The sequence below is a fragment of the Homo sapiens genome, chromosome 2, assembly GCF_000001405.40.
Source record: "Homo sapiens chromosome 2, GRCh38.p14 Primary Assembly".
Taxonomy (NCBI): Eukaryota; Metazoa; Chordata; class Mammalia; order Primates; family Hominidae; genus Homo; species Homo sapiens.
In genome coordinates this window covers 85,795,409-85,809,591 of record NC_000002.12, presented here as the reverse complement: position 1 = coordinate 85,809,591, position 14,183 = coordinate 85,795,409, and the positions used below count along the sequence as shown (strand labels likewise).

The window sequence follows — 14,183 nt, the reverse complement described above, 5'->3', positions numbered from 1 at the left end:
GCAAGGAAATGTACAGGAAGGTTCCATGCACCCTTCACCCAGACTCTGCCAATGTCTTGATAAATTACCATAGGACCATATCAAAACCAGGAAACTTGGTATAGTCCTTAGAATGTATCCGGATTTCACCAGATATATGTGCACTCATGTATGTGTGTATGTGTCTGGGTGTGTGTTGCTCTTTGCAATTTTATTATATGTGTAGCTTTGTGTAATTTGTCTTTGACCCTGTTAACAGGATCTGTTGCAGAGCAGAAGTTTTTCATATAGGATTTTTTAATGAGGCCCAAGTTATCAATTCATGATCCATGTTGAACCAATTTTCTTTTGTGGATCATGCTTTTGGTATCAGGAATAAAAACCCTTTGTCCAGCCCCAGATTCCAAAGATTTGCCCTTATGCTTTTTCAAGTTTTATAGTTTTGTAAAGTCCATTTACGTTTGTGATCCATTTTGAGTTAATTTTTGTATGGGGTATGAGGTTAATTTGAGGTTCATTTTTAGCCAATGGCTATCTCCAGTGGCTGGAGGGATTCTAAGAGCCATTTTAACCACTCTGTCTTTGCTTTAAGAACACTACTTTCAGGTGAAAAAAAGGAGGCCCAGAGAACTAAGACAACTTTCCCAAGGTCACTGTGGTTGTCATGAATGCATTCCCTACTCTCTGTCTTCCAGGCCCGTGGTAAGATCACACTCAGGGCCCCTCTGTGGTAGGGCAGGGCCATGAAACTGGCCCTGGCCAATTTGTTGTGAGCAGAAATTATGTGAGTTTCTCCCAAATCAGGGCATTTAAATGTCATAGTGAGGCTGGACACAGTGGCTCACCCCTGTGATCCCAACAATTTGGGAGGCTGAGGTGGGCGGATCACTTGAGGCCAGGAGTTTGAGACCAGCCTGCCAACATGATGAAACCCCGTTTCTACTAAAAATACAAAAATTAGCTGGGCATGGTGGTGCATGCCTATAATCCCAGCTACTCTGTAAGCTGAGGCAGGAGAATCTCTTGAACATGAGAGACAGATGTTGCAGCGAGCTGAGATCACGTCACTGCACTCCAACCTGGGCCATTGAGTGAATAAGAGACTGTCTCAAAAAATAAATAAATAAATAAATAGTAAGGAAATGCCACAGTAAACCCTCCAGATCTCTTCTTTCCCTCTCTCATAGCAAGCAGCAAGTTAGAAATGGTGGCTGCTCCATCAGCCTGGATCCCAGAGTGGAGAGACATGGAGCAGAGCCCCTGTGAACTGACGATGGACATTCAGAGTGAACAAGAAATACATCTTCGTGTTTAAGCAATTATACTTGTCGGGGCATTTGTTACCACGCATGACTCAGCTTATCACCAAGTTGGATTTTGGAAGAATCCAGGTCCTCCTCGTTCCACGGTAAATGCACTTTGCTAGGAGTTTTCATATGACCTTCCCATCTGTCCTCAAGAGTCCTCATGGCTTACTATCATGTGCCACAAGAAGAGACCAGCAAGATGGGTTAGATGGCTTTCCAGGAGCCTTCTGTGCTACCAGAATACCAGGCTGTAGACAGCCTCTGTTCCCAGGACCTCTGTGCCAGCTCAGCTCAGAAACGGTCAGTAGGGAACTCAGTGATGGTGCTCTCGTCCCACTCTGCTTAGCACTAGCCACTGCCCCCACCCAGGGCCTGGATCTACTTCAGAGGGCCCCTCTGGGATGGACAGGGATGAACTGGGACCCACTGAGGCAGAGGCCTGGAATGGGAGTGGGGAAACACAGTGGGGCTTCATAGTGTCAGGTCCAGAAGGCAGGATGTCTGAATTCGTGCCATGCACCAGGAGTTCCTATGGCAGAAGATACACCATCTCTGGCCATGTTTGGGGACATGCTTCTGCCTATCAATATCTATTTCCCCTTCTTCCTTGTAACAAACCCAATTCATTTGGAATGGAAATGGGCCTGGTCCCACAAAGAGGCTCCACTGAGCATGACAAGCCTGTTCCTCAGTTCCCCAGCCCCCTTGCACCCAGGATAGGGCCATAAGATATAGGTGGAAGCTGGCAGGGGGTGGGGTGCAAATGTCAAGTAAAACTGGTTTCCTGACAAAAGGGTGCAGCTGGTATGGCCCTCTCTTTCCACCTTTCTGCCTCTTGGTTTTCTTTTAAACACAGACACGATACTTAGAGTTGTACCAACCACATTAAGACCATGAGGAGAGGCCATAAGAATCTCAGAGTTGTCGAGTTACCACAGCAAAGTCAGCAACCACCATTTACTGATTTCTTATTATGAGAAAAAGGCACCCCTGTGTGATTAAACTTCTAGAACCAGGTTTCCTGTTACCTGCAGCCAAATGCCTTCCTAACTGGTACAGTGCCTACCTAGCAGGGGAGTTAGAAGAAAGGACTTATTTTACCACCTCCTGGACTTCTCTTTCCTCATCTGGGGCCACATACCCCCCAGATCAATCCTGTCCCTAGAAATTGTCCCCGATCAATTCTGTCCTTGTAGCAGGAGGTCTGATGTAAGCAACCCCACATCCTGGGCCCTGCAATAGCCGCCTTTTGCACCTTCCACATTGCCACCAAAGTGATCTTTCCAAAATCATGGCACCCCTCTGCCAAAAAATTGTATCACTCAAATTCCTTCCCAAGCTTTCAAGGCCCTTCCCATGCTGGATTTGGCTGACCTTTGCAGCTTTCTATCCCTTTACCGCTCACTGGGCACCCCAACTCCCATGACTTCACCTCCTTCACCCTGCATCCACCACAGGCTGAAATGCTTGTTACCTCCTTTGCACACTTTCTGCATACCTTTGTTACAGCAAGTGCCACGATACTTATAATTAATTGTTTATAAATCTTGTCCTTCCAGAGAGTGTGTGCTCTGAGGACAGGGGTCAATCCTTACTCTATTTGTATGTGTGTCAGCTTCTAGCACAGCCAGTACTCAAAAAAAAAAAAAAAAAAACCAGCCTGCTGAATAAATAAAACCCCAGTGCTTTGGTTGTATGTTGAATATTAACCTTGAGCTTCCTCTTTGGGCTCTACATGGAGTTGCTCTTCAGGTAACCTGTGAAGTTTCCCACTATAAAGAAAGGACTTGCTCAGTTCCTTATTAAGCAATACTTATTGAGCAACTACTGTGCACTTGTATCAGTTAGTTATCACTGCATTCATGCTGTGTAAAAAATATTTTTAAAAAATTCCAGTGGCATATGACCATGACCGTTTATTTCCTACTTGTCTGAGGGTTAGCTGGAGGTATTACAATGTGTTATTATTACAAGCCCCACTTTTCAGATGAGGAAACCAGAGATGCAGAGAGGTAGAGTAACAGTCCAATTTTGCACAGTTGATAAGCAGCAAAGCCAGACTTAAAACCCAGGAAGCCTGGCTCAAGTTGGATTCTTAACCATGATGTTGCACTGCCTCTCCATCTTGGAGAGCATCCCACCGCTGTGCATGAATAACTTACTCATTAAAAAAAAATCACAGCCTAATATTTCAATAAATGGATGTTAATATATCATATCATATGTCGTATTTAGCCAGTCTGATATGGTTTGGCTATGTGCCCACCCAAATCTCATCTTGAATTGTAGCTCCCATAATCCCCACGTGTTGTGGGAGGGACCTAGTGGGAAGTAATTGAATCATGGGGGCGAGTTTTTCCCATGCTGCTCTTGTGATAGTGAATAAGTCTCATGAGAACTGATGGTTTTATAAAAGGGCAGTTCCTCTGCACACACTGTCTTGCCTGCCACCATGTAGGAAGTGGCTTTGCCCTGCTTTGCCTTCCGCCATGACTGTGAGGCCTCCTCAGCCATGTGAAACTGTGAGTCCATTAAATCTCTTTTTCTTTACAAATTACCCAGTCTCTGGTATGTCTTTATTAGCAGTGTAAGAACAGACTAACACCACCTCTGTGCATCAATAATTTACTCATTTTTTTAAAACCCACAGCCTAATATTTCAATAAATGGATGTTAATATACCATATGTAGCCAGTCCCTACTGATGCATGTTTAACTTTTTCCCAGTCTTTTGCTATTATGCAATGGTGCATGAATAATATGTGCCCCACTCATTCAGCATCTGCAAAGTGTATCTGCAGGAAAAATTCCTAGAAGTGGAATTGCTGAATCAAAGTTATTTGTCTTTATAATGGTAATAGCTTTTGCTGAATTGCTTACCAAAAATCTATGGAGTATCAATGTCTCCACACCCTCTTCCACACCGTGTGTTAGTGAGCTTTTTGATCTTTAACAGCATGACGGATGAAAAATAGTATCTCAGTGTTGTTTTAGCTTGCATGGGTTTTTTTTTTACTATGTATAGATTGAAAAAATGATGCTACCTCATGGGGTTGTTGTGAGGATGAAATGTATTAAGACTATTGACCCATACCAAGTTCTTAGAGCAGTACCCAGAACCCCAGAACATAGTAAGCACTTAATAAATGTTCAGTGCTATTACTATTATATATTATGTGAAAGTGCTGGAAGAATAAAGCACAGGGCAATATGCATAATATACTTACTATCTGTGGGAGAAAATGAAACAAGAATATATATACACACACATACCCATACGTACATACGTATACGTGTATGTATGTACTTGTGTATATATGCATACATAACAGTCCTCAGGAAAGATATGCAAAAGTAGAAAACATTGATGCCTGTAAGGAAGAAAATGGCTGCTGGTGACAAGAGTGAAGAGATTTTTCACCTCATTTCCTTTATTTCATAATTTTTAAATCATATGCAAGAATCATTTATTCTCAAATGGCTGTAGTTCCTGATATCCTCCTGCAGGGGGAGGGGAAGATTCCAGCCCCGTGGTTTTAGCCCCAGTCCCCAGGAAGTGGTTACAGCCCCTCTTGCCACCTTCCTACCCTTGCCTTTTGAGAGTGCCAGATTCAGCCCTGAAGACAGTTCAAAAGAAACAAGGTTTGCACAAGCTGAGGAATTGAAAGGTTGGTGCTTATTCTCCCCTATCTCCCCACCTTCTCCAACCCCTATCAGTGTATCCATGCCCATCAAGGTAGGAGGAGAAAAGCCAGTGCAAAAAGGAGGGAACCTGAAGCCTCTGCCACCTTCCCTGAGGGGTAAGCAGAAAACAGTCCTGGACTTGGGTGCCCTAAGCTTCAGCCTCCCACTTGCCACTGACCTCCTGGGGAGGCAAGAGCCATCACCTCCCTGGGCCTCAGTTTCCTCAGAGTTAAAAGGGTTACTGACACATAGCCTCCATCAGGGCATTTGGATTAAATGAAGTAAGAAATGTGTAGCCACACTGAAAAATACCAAAGCATGATGTTGATGAGGCTTCCAGAATATAAGAGTAGAGTAACAGGCAGTGCTCCGGAGCTGTCACCAGAGAGGGGCGTCTCTCGGTGTCACTGTTGGCACCGCTCCACAGAGCACCTGCTGCTAGCATAGACCTCCAACCTGGGAGGACCTCCTCTCATTCGAGAGAATGAATGAAACACCTAACCACGCACTACCAGATGTCACACAGTCACTGTATAGAGAATGAAGAGAATGATGCAGGAAAAAGAGAAGTCAACTCCACATTTAGTAAGTGTCTGCAGGAATTTTGCCGAATGCATTAGAAACATCAACCTTTGGTGAAATCCACGGATTAAAAACTTACGTGCTCAGCCATTAAGAGGAAGGAAACTCTGACCCATACTACAGCATGGGCGAGTCTTGAAGACATTATGCTAAGTGAGCCAGTCACAGAAAGACAAAGATTGTATGATTCCACTTAGATGAGATATCTAGAATAGGCAAAGTCATAGACACCAGAGGTAGAATAGAGCTGCCATGGGTTACAGAAGGGAAATGGGGAATTATTGTTTGATACCTTCTGAGTTTCAATTTGGGGTGATGAAAAGTTCTGGAGATGGATAGTAGTGATGGTTGTACAACACTGTGAAAGTACTTAATTCCACTGAATTATAAACCCAAAAATGCTTAAAATGTTAAATTTTATGTTATATATATTTTACCACAATAAAAAAATTGTTCCCTCCAAAAAAAAAAGAAGAAAAAAATTCACTAACTTAATGCTCAAAGCAAAATTTGAACAATCACCTCAGCAGATACTGAACTAGTTTGGAAATAAGAGCCCTGAAATAAACACTCAATCCCAAGACTAGCAGTTGTGGGCATGGAGCAGTGTGGAGAGCTGAAGGGAGCAGCAGGGCCTGTCAGAAGAGGGATCCACCAGGTCCAAGCTGATGCAGTCTCCTGGCCATGCTGTTTGGAGTTCCTATCAGTTATTAATGAGGAGCCACTGGGCAGTGAGACTAGAAGCCACTGTGTAATCTTTTTTTTTTTTTTTTTTTTTTTTTTTTTTTTTTTTTTTTTTGCGATGGAGTCTCAGTGTGTCACCCAGGCTAGAGTGCAGTGGCACAATCTCAGCTCACTGCAACCTCTCCCTTCCAGGTTTCAAGCCATTCTCTTGCCTCAGTCCCCCAAGTAGCTGGGATTACAGGCATGCACCACCATGCCTGGCTAATTTTTGTATTTTCAGTAGAGACGGGGTTTCACCAGGTTGCCCAGGCTGGTCTCAAGCTCCTGACCTCAAGCGATCTGCCCACCTCGACCTCCCAAAGTGCTGGGATTACAGACGTGAGCTACTGTGCCCAGCCACCACTGTGGAATCTTTATGGTCTTGTAGATCTAAGTCTGCAAAAGCAATATCACAAAATGTGTATGGTTCTCATGTTACAGTGTGATGTCACTCATGCTAAAACGGATCCTTCTGTTTACTTCATATAACCCTGAGTTTAAGCAAAGGGGAGGACACATCCAGCAGATTGCCTGGGTCTGGCGAACCTCACCATCTCAGTCCATTTGAGCTGCTGTGACATGGTACCATAGGCTGTGTGGCCTCTAAACAACAGAAGTGTATTTCTCAAAGTTCTGGAGTCTGGAAGGCTGAGCTCAGGGTGCCAGCATGGTCAGGTACTGCTGAGGCCTCTCCTGGGTTACAAGCTGCCCTCTTCTTGAGTGGTGTGCTCACACAGTGGAAGAGGGTGTGAGAGGTCCCCAGGGCTCCTATGACAAGGGCACTAATCCCGTTCATGAGGGCTCCACCCTCATGACCTCATCACCTCTGAACAGCCCCACCTCTGAGTACCATCATATCAGGATTAGAATGTCAACATATGAATTAGGTGGGACACAAATATTCCGTGCATAACATGTAGCCATTAAAATAGAGATTCTGCTCTTCTGAGTGGGCGACATCAGGAAAGCCCCAGTCCCATACCTCCTAATAGAATTCTGTCCACAGGAGGCTTGGTTTGATTTGGGTGTGTGACCCATGACCGTCCTCAGGGAGAAATGATGTTATTAAGCAGTGTCCACCTCTGCACTGTTACCATCTGTGTTCCTGAGCGGACAGAGCCTGAGAAGAGAAGGGAGGTTGGGATACAGACACAGCTCAGGGGGAAGAGAGCTGGAGTCAGAAGCAAACTGTGAGTGGTTCCCCAAGGCCGGGAGGAGGGTTCGCTCTTGTTGTTTGCAGAATCAGTCTCCTGCACAGGCAAGGGGAGTGATCACAAACACCTGGGGCCTCTGGGACCTAGAGAAAGCCCGACCACTTGTAGTACCTGCCACCTCACCTGCCAAGACCTGACATACCCCTCAGAGCACGAGTGTCCCATAGCCTGATTAAGGAGAGCAGCATATGTTAAAAGTACTAAGCCACATCTCACTTTGGAGAATGTATTTGTTGGGATAAAATTTGGCTGTCATGACAGAGACCCAAAGCTTCCCAAACATTATTCCCATCACAGCACACAGAGAAAATTGTAATAATTGTGTAGCTCACGGGGGTAAAAGAATAAGGCTGTGTCTTATTTCTTTCAGACTGCTAAAACAAAATACTGTAAATTGGATAGCTTATAAACAGAAATTTATTTCTCACAGTTCTGGAGACTGGGAAGTCCAAGATCAAGACACTGGCAGAGCAGTGTCTGGTGAAGGCCTGCTTTTAGTTCATGGATAGTGCCTTTTTGCTGTGTCCTCATATGGTGGAAAGGGAAAAATCTCTGGTCTTGCTAGTCCCTTATAAGGGCACTAATCCCATTCATAAAAGTTCCACTCTCATGACCTAGTCACCTCCGAAAATCATCACATTGGGAATTAGGTTTCAACATATGAATTTTGGAGAGACACAAACATTCAGTCCATAGCAGGCTGCTTACATGCAGAAGCAACTGGCCCTGAGACAGAGGGGATCAGTAGCTTCATGCACCTGCAACCCATTGACAGCACTCCAGGAAGGCCCAGCATTGGTTGGGATGCTCTGGCTTAATTAATATAGACATTCATGTTCCTCTCACTTAGAAGTCTGAGTTGTTATGCTGACCCTGTCCTATGAAGCCATCAAGGGCCCAGACCCCCTCTATGTTGTTGCTCCTCCATCCCTAGCATGTTGCCCTTATCTGCAAGATCCCAGATGGCACACTGCACATCCACCTTCCATCCAGAGAGAGGGTAAAGGGGAAGGGAAGACCCGCCCATCCTTTTAAGGGCATGTATCAGTTGTCTATTGTTGCAAAACAATTACCCCAAAACTTGGTTGTTTAAAACAATAAACACTTATTATCTCAGTTTCTGTGGGTCAGGAATTCAGAGTTTATAGTCAAGATGTCATCCAGCACCACAGTCACCTGAAGGCTGGTTTGGGGGTTAAGGACTTGCTTTCAAAATGGCTCTTTTACGTGACTGTTGGCAGGAAGCCTCGGTTCTTTGCCACATGGGTCTTCTCTCCATAGGGCTGCTACATTGTCCTCATGACATGGCAGCTGGTTTTCCCCAGAGTGGATGATGCAAGAGACAGAGAGCAAGAAGGAAGCCAACTGCCTCTTCAGTTCAACCTCAGGTGTTCATTGCTTCTACCACGTTCTATGCATTAGAAGCAAGTCACAAAGTGCAGGCTATGCTTAAAGGAAGGGAATTAAGCCTCCACCTAAATGAAAGAAGGACTGTCAAATAATTGATGGCCATATATAAAACTACCTAGCACAGGGCACATCCAGGCAGTGTTGCACATACCTCTTCTGCTTGCACCCGTTGACTAGAACTCAGTCCCACAGCCATACAGAGCCCCATGGGAAGCTGAGATACATTGTCTTCATTGTAGTGGCTGTCCACACAACTAGAAATTGGTGGTCTATTACTATGGGAGAGAAATGGGAAATTAATAACATTTCTGCCTCAGAGGAAACAAAAACACAAATATGCTAGGAGGAAAAAAAAAGAATCCTGTGGAATATAATTTACATTCTAGGAGAAGAAAACATGTTTTTTCGTCATTGACATTCTTGAAAATGCTCATGACATATAGTTGAGTGAAAAATGCAGGTTGAATAGAGCACGATGCCATTTATGACAATGTGCATATGTATATGTCAGTGAGTGTGGAGGCAGAGAGGTGCCTGGAAGGATGTTCACCAACACAGTCACTGTGGTTATCTCCAGGTGATTAGATTATTGGTGATTTCCTCATATATTTCTATGTTATCTTTCTATATCATTTACTGTTTCTCAAAAAAAAAAAACCAGAAAAAGCTATAAAAATATTTCTTCCTACTCTTTCTAATCAACCCCCCACGGCCCCCACCCCAAGCTGGTCTAGAGGAAGAAGACTGATGAGGAATTCCTGGCGCTGTGCAGTGAGTCCGGCTGGTGAACCTGTCAGCTCTGAGTCATGCCAAGTGCAGGGCAGGCAGGTGGGGCGGGGCCAGGGGCCTGGTTAGACAGTCAGGATGTGCCAGTGAACACAGCATCAGGGCACGAAGTCACAGCTGGGACCATGTGAGTGGAGAGGGGTTACGCCAAAAATCATGAAAGCAGAGGTCAGAGGCTGCAGAGTCGCCCAAATGGTGAGAGTGGCCAAGGTGTGGTGTTGGAGGGGATGTTCCAGGGTCCAGGGTCCAGGGTCCACATGTTGACCCTGAAAGTCAATGATGAAAAAACATGTGGACTTTGCATCAGGGCCAAGCATCAGGCTGAGGACAACGTTCCCACTTCCAACAAGCCCCCAGGGCTGGGAGGAGAAGAGAGTCCAGGAAGCTATGCTCTATATAAGAGATGGGAGCCAGTGCAGGTTGAAAAGACCCCAGGTGCCTCCCCCACCCCCAGGGCACAGATAGGTAGGAGCAGCCAACTGGATTGCAGCCCCAACATAGCCACGAGGGCTGCCAGGGAGCCTGTTGCTGCCCCAGCAAGAGAGTTGGCTGCCAGGTATGACTGCGCTGTCCCCTGCTCAGGCAAGGACGGTGACTGGGTTTAATGTCGCCTGCCAGCTCTGATCTGTGACAGTAGCTCTCTGGACTATGGGGCTGAGAAAGATTCTAAGACCAAGCTGGAGCTTAGGAGGAACTGCTGAAGTGATTAATTAGTGATGTCTGCCAAGCCACAAAAGGAGGGTATTTTAGCCCAAGTGCTACCATTCCAGCAGGCACTCTTTTTCCACTAGGGGTTCACCCTCACCTCTTCTTCCCCCACTTGTCTGCCTTCCATCGTAAGGAAAACTTCCATTGTAAGGAATATTACCCACAATCCTATGTTTTCATTCTGGCCATTCACTGCTAGGGTTTTCTGCATACAGAGAGCCTTTTTATGTCATTCTCATCAGAAAGTACATCCTAACTGTAAATGCTTTTCCACTTGGTATTACAGTACAAGGGTTTTCCTATGATTGTTTTTTAATATCCTTTTTAAAAAAGTAACACAAGATCGTTGTAGAAAGTACAGAGTACCAGCAATGAAAAAAAACCTTAAAACCTTTCATTCTAAAACCCATAGAGGACCCCAGAGCCTGCCAGGCAGTAGCGGACCAGGAGGATCCTCATACTAAGCGATAGCGCTGGGAATGGCCATAAGTATCACAATTACCTGGGATGCTTTAAAAAAAAAATGCAGATTCCGTCTTACACACATGTTAGAAAACGTCAGTCCTCCCCCACCCACCTCCCCTGTAAAAACAAAAATAGGCAAAGACTATAATAAACAAGACAATTCACAGAAACAGAAATTCAAGTGGTCAATAAATATGAACAATGTTCTTCTCTATTAGGCAGGAAAATGAAAATTAAAGCAATGAGATGCCTTCCCTGCTTCCCCAGAAGACTGGCAAGAACTCAAGTGTGATAACGTCCAGCACAGGCAGAGAAATGGGCATGAATTGCTTCAACCTCTTGGGAAAGTAATCTAGAGTTGTTTATTAAAATTAAAAATACTCTATACATACACTGGACAGAATAACCACACTTCCATGATCTAGTCTACAGAAGTCAAACCACCAGGACATAAAGATACATGTACAAGTACATTTAATGAAGCATTCATCCATTTGTGCAACAAATATTTGTTCATCAGCTACTGGAGACTGAGGACAGCATTCCTAGTTCCAAAAAGCCCCAAGGGGGCACTGTTTAGACACTAGGGATGCAGTGGTCAGCAAAACAAAAACCCCCGCTCTCATGAACTTTACGGTCTAGAGGGAGGTGATAGTGTTTTCAAACTGACATAGCGTGGCAGAGAGTGATGAGTACTATGGAGAAAATAAAGCAGGGGAGAGAGTGCTAGGGGAAGTAGGGGAGTATTGCGATTTAAAATAGAGCCATTGGCTGGGCGCGGTGGCTCACACCTGTAATCCCAGCAATTTGGGAGGCCGAAGTGGGCAGATCGCTTGAGGTCAGGAGTTCGAGACCAGCCTGGCCAACATGGTGGAACCCCGTCTTTACTAAAAATACAAAAATTAGCCAGATGTGATGGCACACACCTGTAATCCCAGCTACTCAGACGCTGAGGCAGAAGAATCGCTTGAACCTGGGAGGCAGAGTTTGCAGTGATCCAAGATCTCGCCAGTGCACTCCAGCCTGGGCGACAGAGTGAGATTCTGTCTCAAAAAACAAACAAACAAACAAACAAATAAATAAGATCGAGCCATCACGGAAGGGCTTGCTAAGGAGGTGCTATTCAACCAGAGGACTGAAGATAATGAGGGAACGAGCCAAACGGATACTGGGGAAAGAGCATTCCAGGCAGGGGGAACAGCCGATGCGAAGGCCTAATGCAAAGAGTGGCTGGGTTTGGTGTGTCAACCACACAGACGACAGCAGTGAAGGTGAGGTCAGGGAGGTGCCAGGGCAGGTGGTGCGGGGCCTTGAAGGCAAGGATTCAGCTTCGCTCTGGGTGATGCAGATAGGAATATCTATTGTGATAGACAGAGCGATATCTATTCCTATTCGTCTCTGGGATACAGACAGGAATTGGAAGTCAGCAGCCTATGAAGGGCGTGGCCCTGAGTGAGTGGGGAGTCCCGAGGACTGAGCCCTGGGGTGTGACAACAGGCAAAGGGGGCCTGGAAGGAGCAGCCGGAGAAGCAGGAGCCAAACCAAGGAGACGGAGCTGCAGAGCCAGTGAAGACAACATCTCAGCAGGGGAACGGGCTGCGCCGATGCCTGATACGTCCAGTCCAATGAGGCCTAATGCTCGACCTGTGGAGTCAGCACCATGGACACCCTGAAGAGACCAGCTCAGGGGAAGGATGTGGATCTCTGCTGGTGGGCACTTGAATAAGCCCCTCAGGGAGGAGAGTGGGAAGGACCTCCGAGAGCAGAGAAGGCAGCTGACAGGCCCGGGGCAGCAGCTGCAGAGGGGCAGCTGTGTTTCTCCAGAGAACAATGGGGTACCCTGTGTCCTCGAGCTCCAAGGCGGGCGCCTCTCTCCCAGGGCCAGGAGGAAAGCGGATCCCTGCGTTAATTAAGTCTCATCAGCAGCAAGGCAGTGCTTGCCAAAGTCCTGCCTCTGAGGAAGCACTGGGCAGCAGGGACAGGCGCTGGCTCCTTGGGAAAGTGCTCAGGCCTGGGAGGAAATGAGCCCTGCCTAAGGTCCCAGCCAAAGGAAGGCCACAGCCCTGGGAGGGGCCCAGAGGACCTGGGCAAGGACAGGCCGACCGGGGCCAGTGCTGAGGGGGAAGGCAGACGGAATGAAATGCCTCTGCCTGCCTGTGGTGGATGATGGCCAGTGGGGCAGGGCTGGCTCTAAACGCTGGGTTTAGAGTAGAAATTCCTTAGATATTTAACTCAGTCTGGTGTTGAATGAGCAGATATTATCCTCTCCGTCTCTGGGATACAGACAGGAATTGGAAGTCAGCAGCCTGAGTGGGGAGTCCCGAGGACTGAGCCCCGGAGTGTGACAACAGGCCAAGGGGGCCTGGAAGGAGCAGCCAAAGAAGCAGGAGCCAAACCAGGGAGACGGAGGCGCAGAGCCAGTGAAGACAGCATCTCAGCAGGGGAACAGGCTGCGTCCATTAAGTACCTGGAAGAGGCTTTAGTCACCATCTCTTCCAACCACTTTTTACAAAGAGAAACTGAGGCTCAGGGAGGGGAGCGACTTGCCCTAGGTCACACAGCCAGTGAGTGGCAGGGCCAAGAAACAGCACTAGGGTCCTTGGCACCCTGTGACCACCCACGGGCCAGACAGTGCCCAGCAGATGTTGCTGCCACTGGAATCCACGCACTGAGGAAAGCAGCTGAGGCAGAATGGGCCAGGATAAAGCGGGGAGAGCCGAGAGAGGGCTGGCTCTGAGAGGGGTGGCCTCTGTGAGGAGGAAAGGGGGTCCTGAGGAGAGGCCCGGCTCAGTGGGAGACAGAGACAAAGCTCTGCAGGGAGGCAGGCCTCAAGGCAGGCTCAGGACCTGGGGCTGGGGGCTGCAGATGGGCCCTGGGAGGAATGAACCCTGCCACCTTGTCGTGTGCGCGAGACATTCACTTCAGTCTCTCCAGATGGCTTTGGGCTGGAGAAGCGCAGTACTTCTCGGGGTTCCCCTCACTGTGTGTTCCGTCTGGCTCCAGCTCCTTAGCCATTTTGTGCCGAGAGCATTCATCCTACTTCATACTTCCCTCCCACACCTGACTCTACTGGGCTCTGCAGGATAACCCCAGGGCCGGGCTGGGCTGCATTGGGGTGGGCAGGACCCTGCAGCCACTCGCCAGGGCAGAGAATCGCGAAAAACTTTTCTAGCCCAGGCCAGCAGCGCTGCATCAACGCAGGTCCTGAGGGCCGTTCTGCCCTGGGGAGATGACCACACTCTCTGCCTTCCAGGAGTGCACGACGGAGCCAGGAAGACAGATGGAGGTGCAAGGAACCAGGCCACGGGGGAGAGAGGACATGTCC

The 14,183-nt window shown here is 47.1% G+C and overlaps 2 annotated features.

Moving 5' to 3' along the window:
• Positions 4,856-5,053: a silencer, noted in NCBI's record as "fragment chr2:86031662-86031859 (GRCh37/hg19 assembly coordinates)". NCBI's record gives its function as "represses an EF-1alpha promoter that drives an FKBP-Casp9 reporter gene in an ReSE screen in HepG2 liver carcinoma cells {active_cell/tissue: HepG2}" and the evidence as "EXISTENCE:reporter gene assay evidence [ECO:0000049][PMID:32094911]".
• Positions 12,157-12,900: an enhancer, noted in NCBI's record as "H3K27ac-H3K4me1 hESC enhancer chr2:86023815-86024558 (GRCh37/hg19 assembly coordinates)". NCBI's record gives its function as "activates a minimal SCP1, AML or CMV promoter by ChIP-STARR-seq in primed H9 embryonic stem cells {active_cell/tissue: H9 hESC(primed)}" and the evidence as "EXISTENCE:reporter gene assay evidence [ECO:0000049][PMID:30033119]".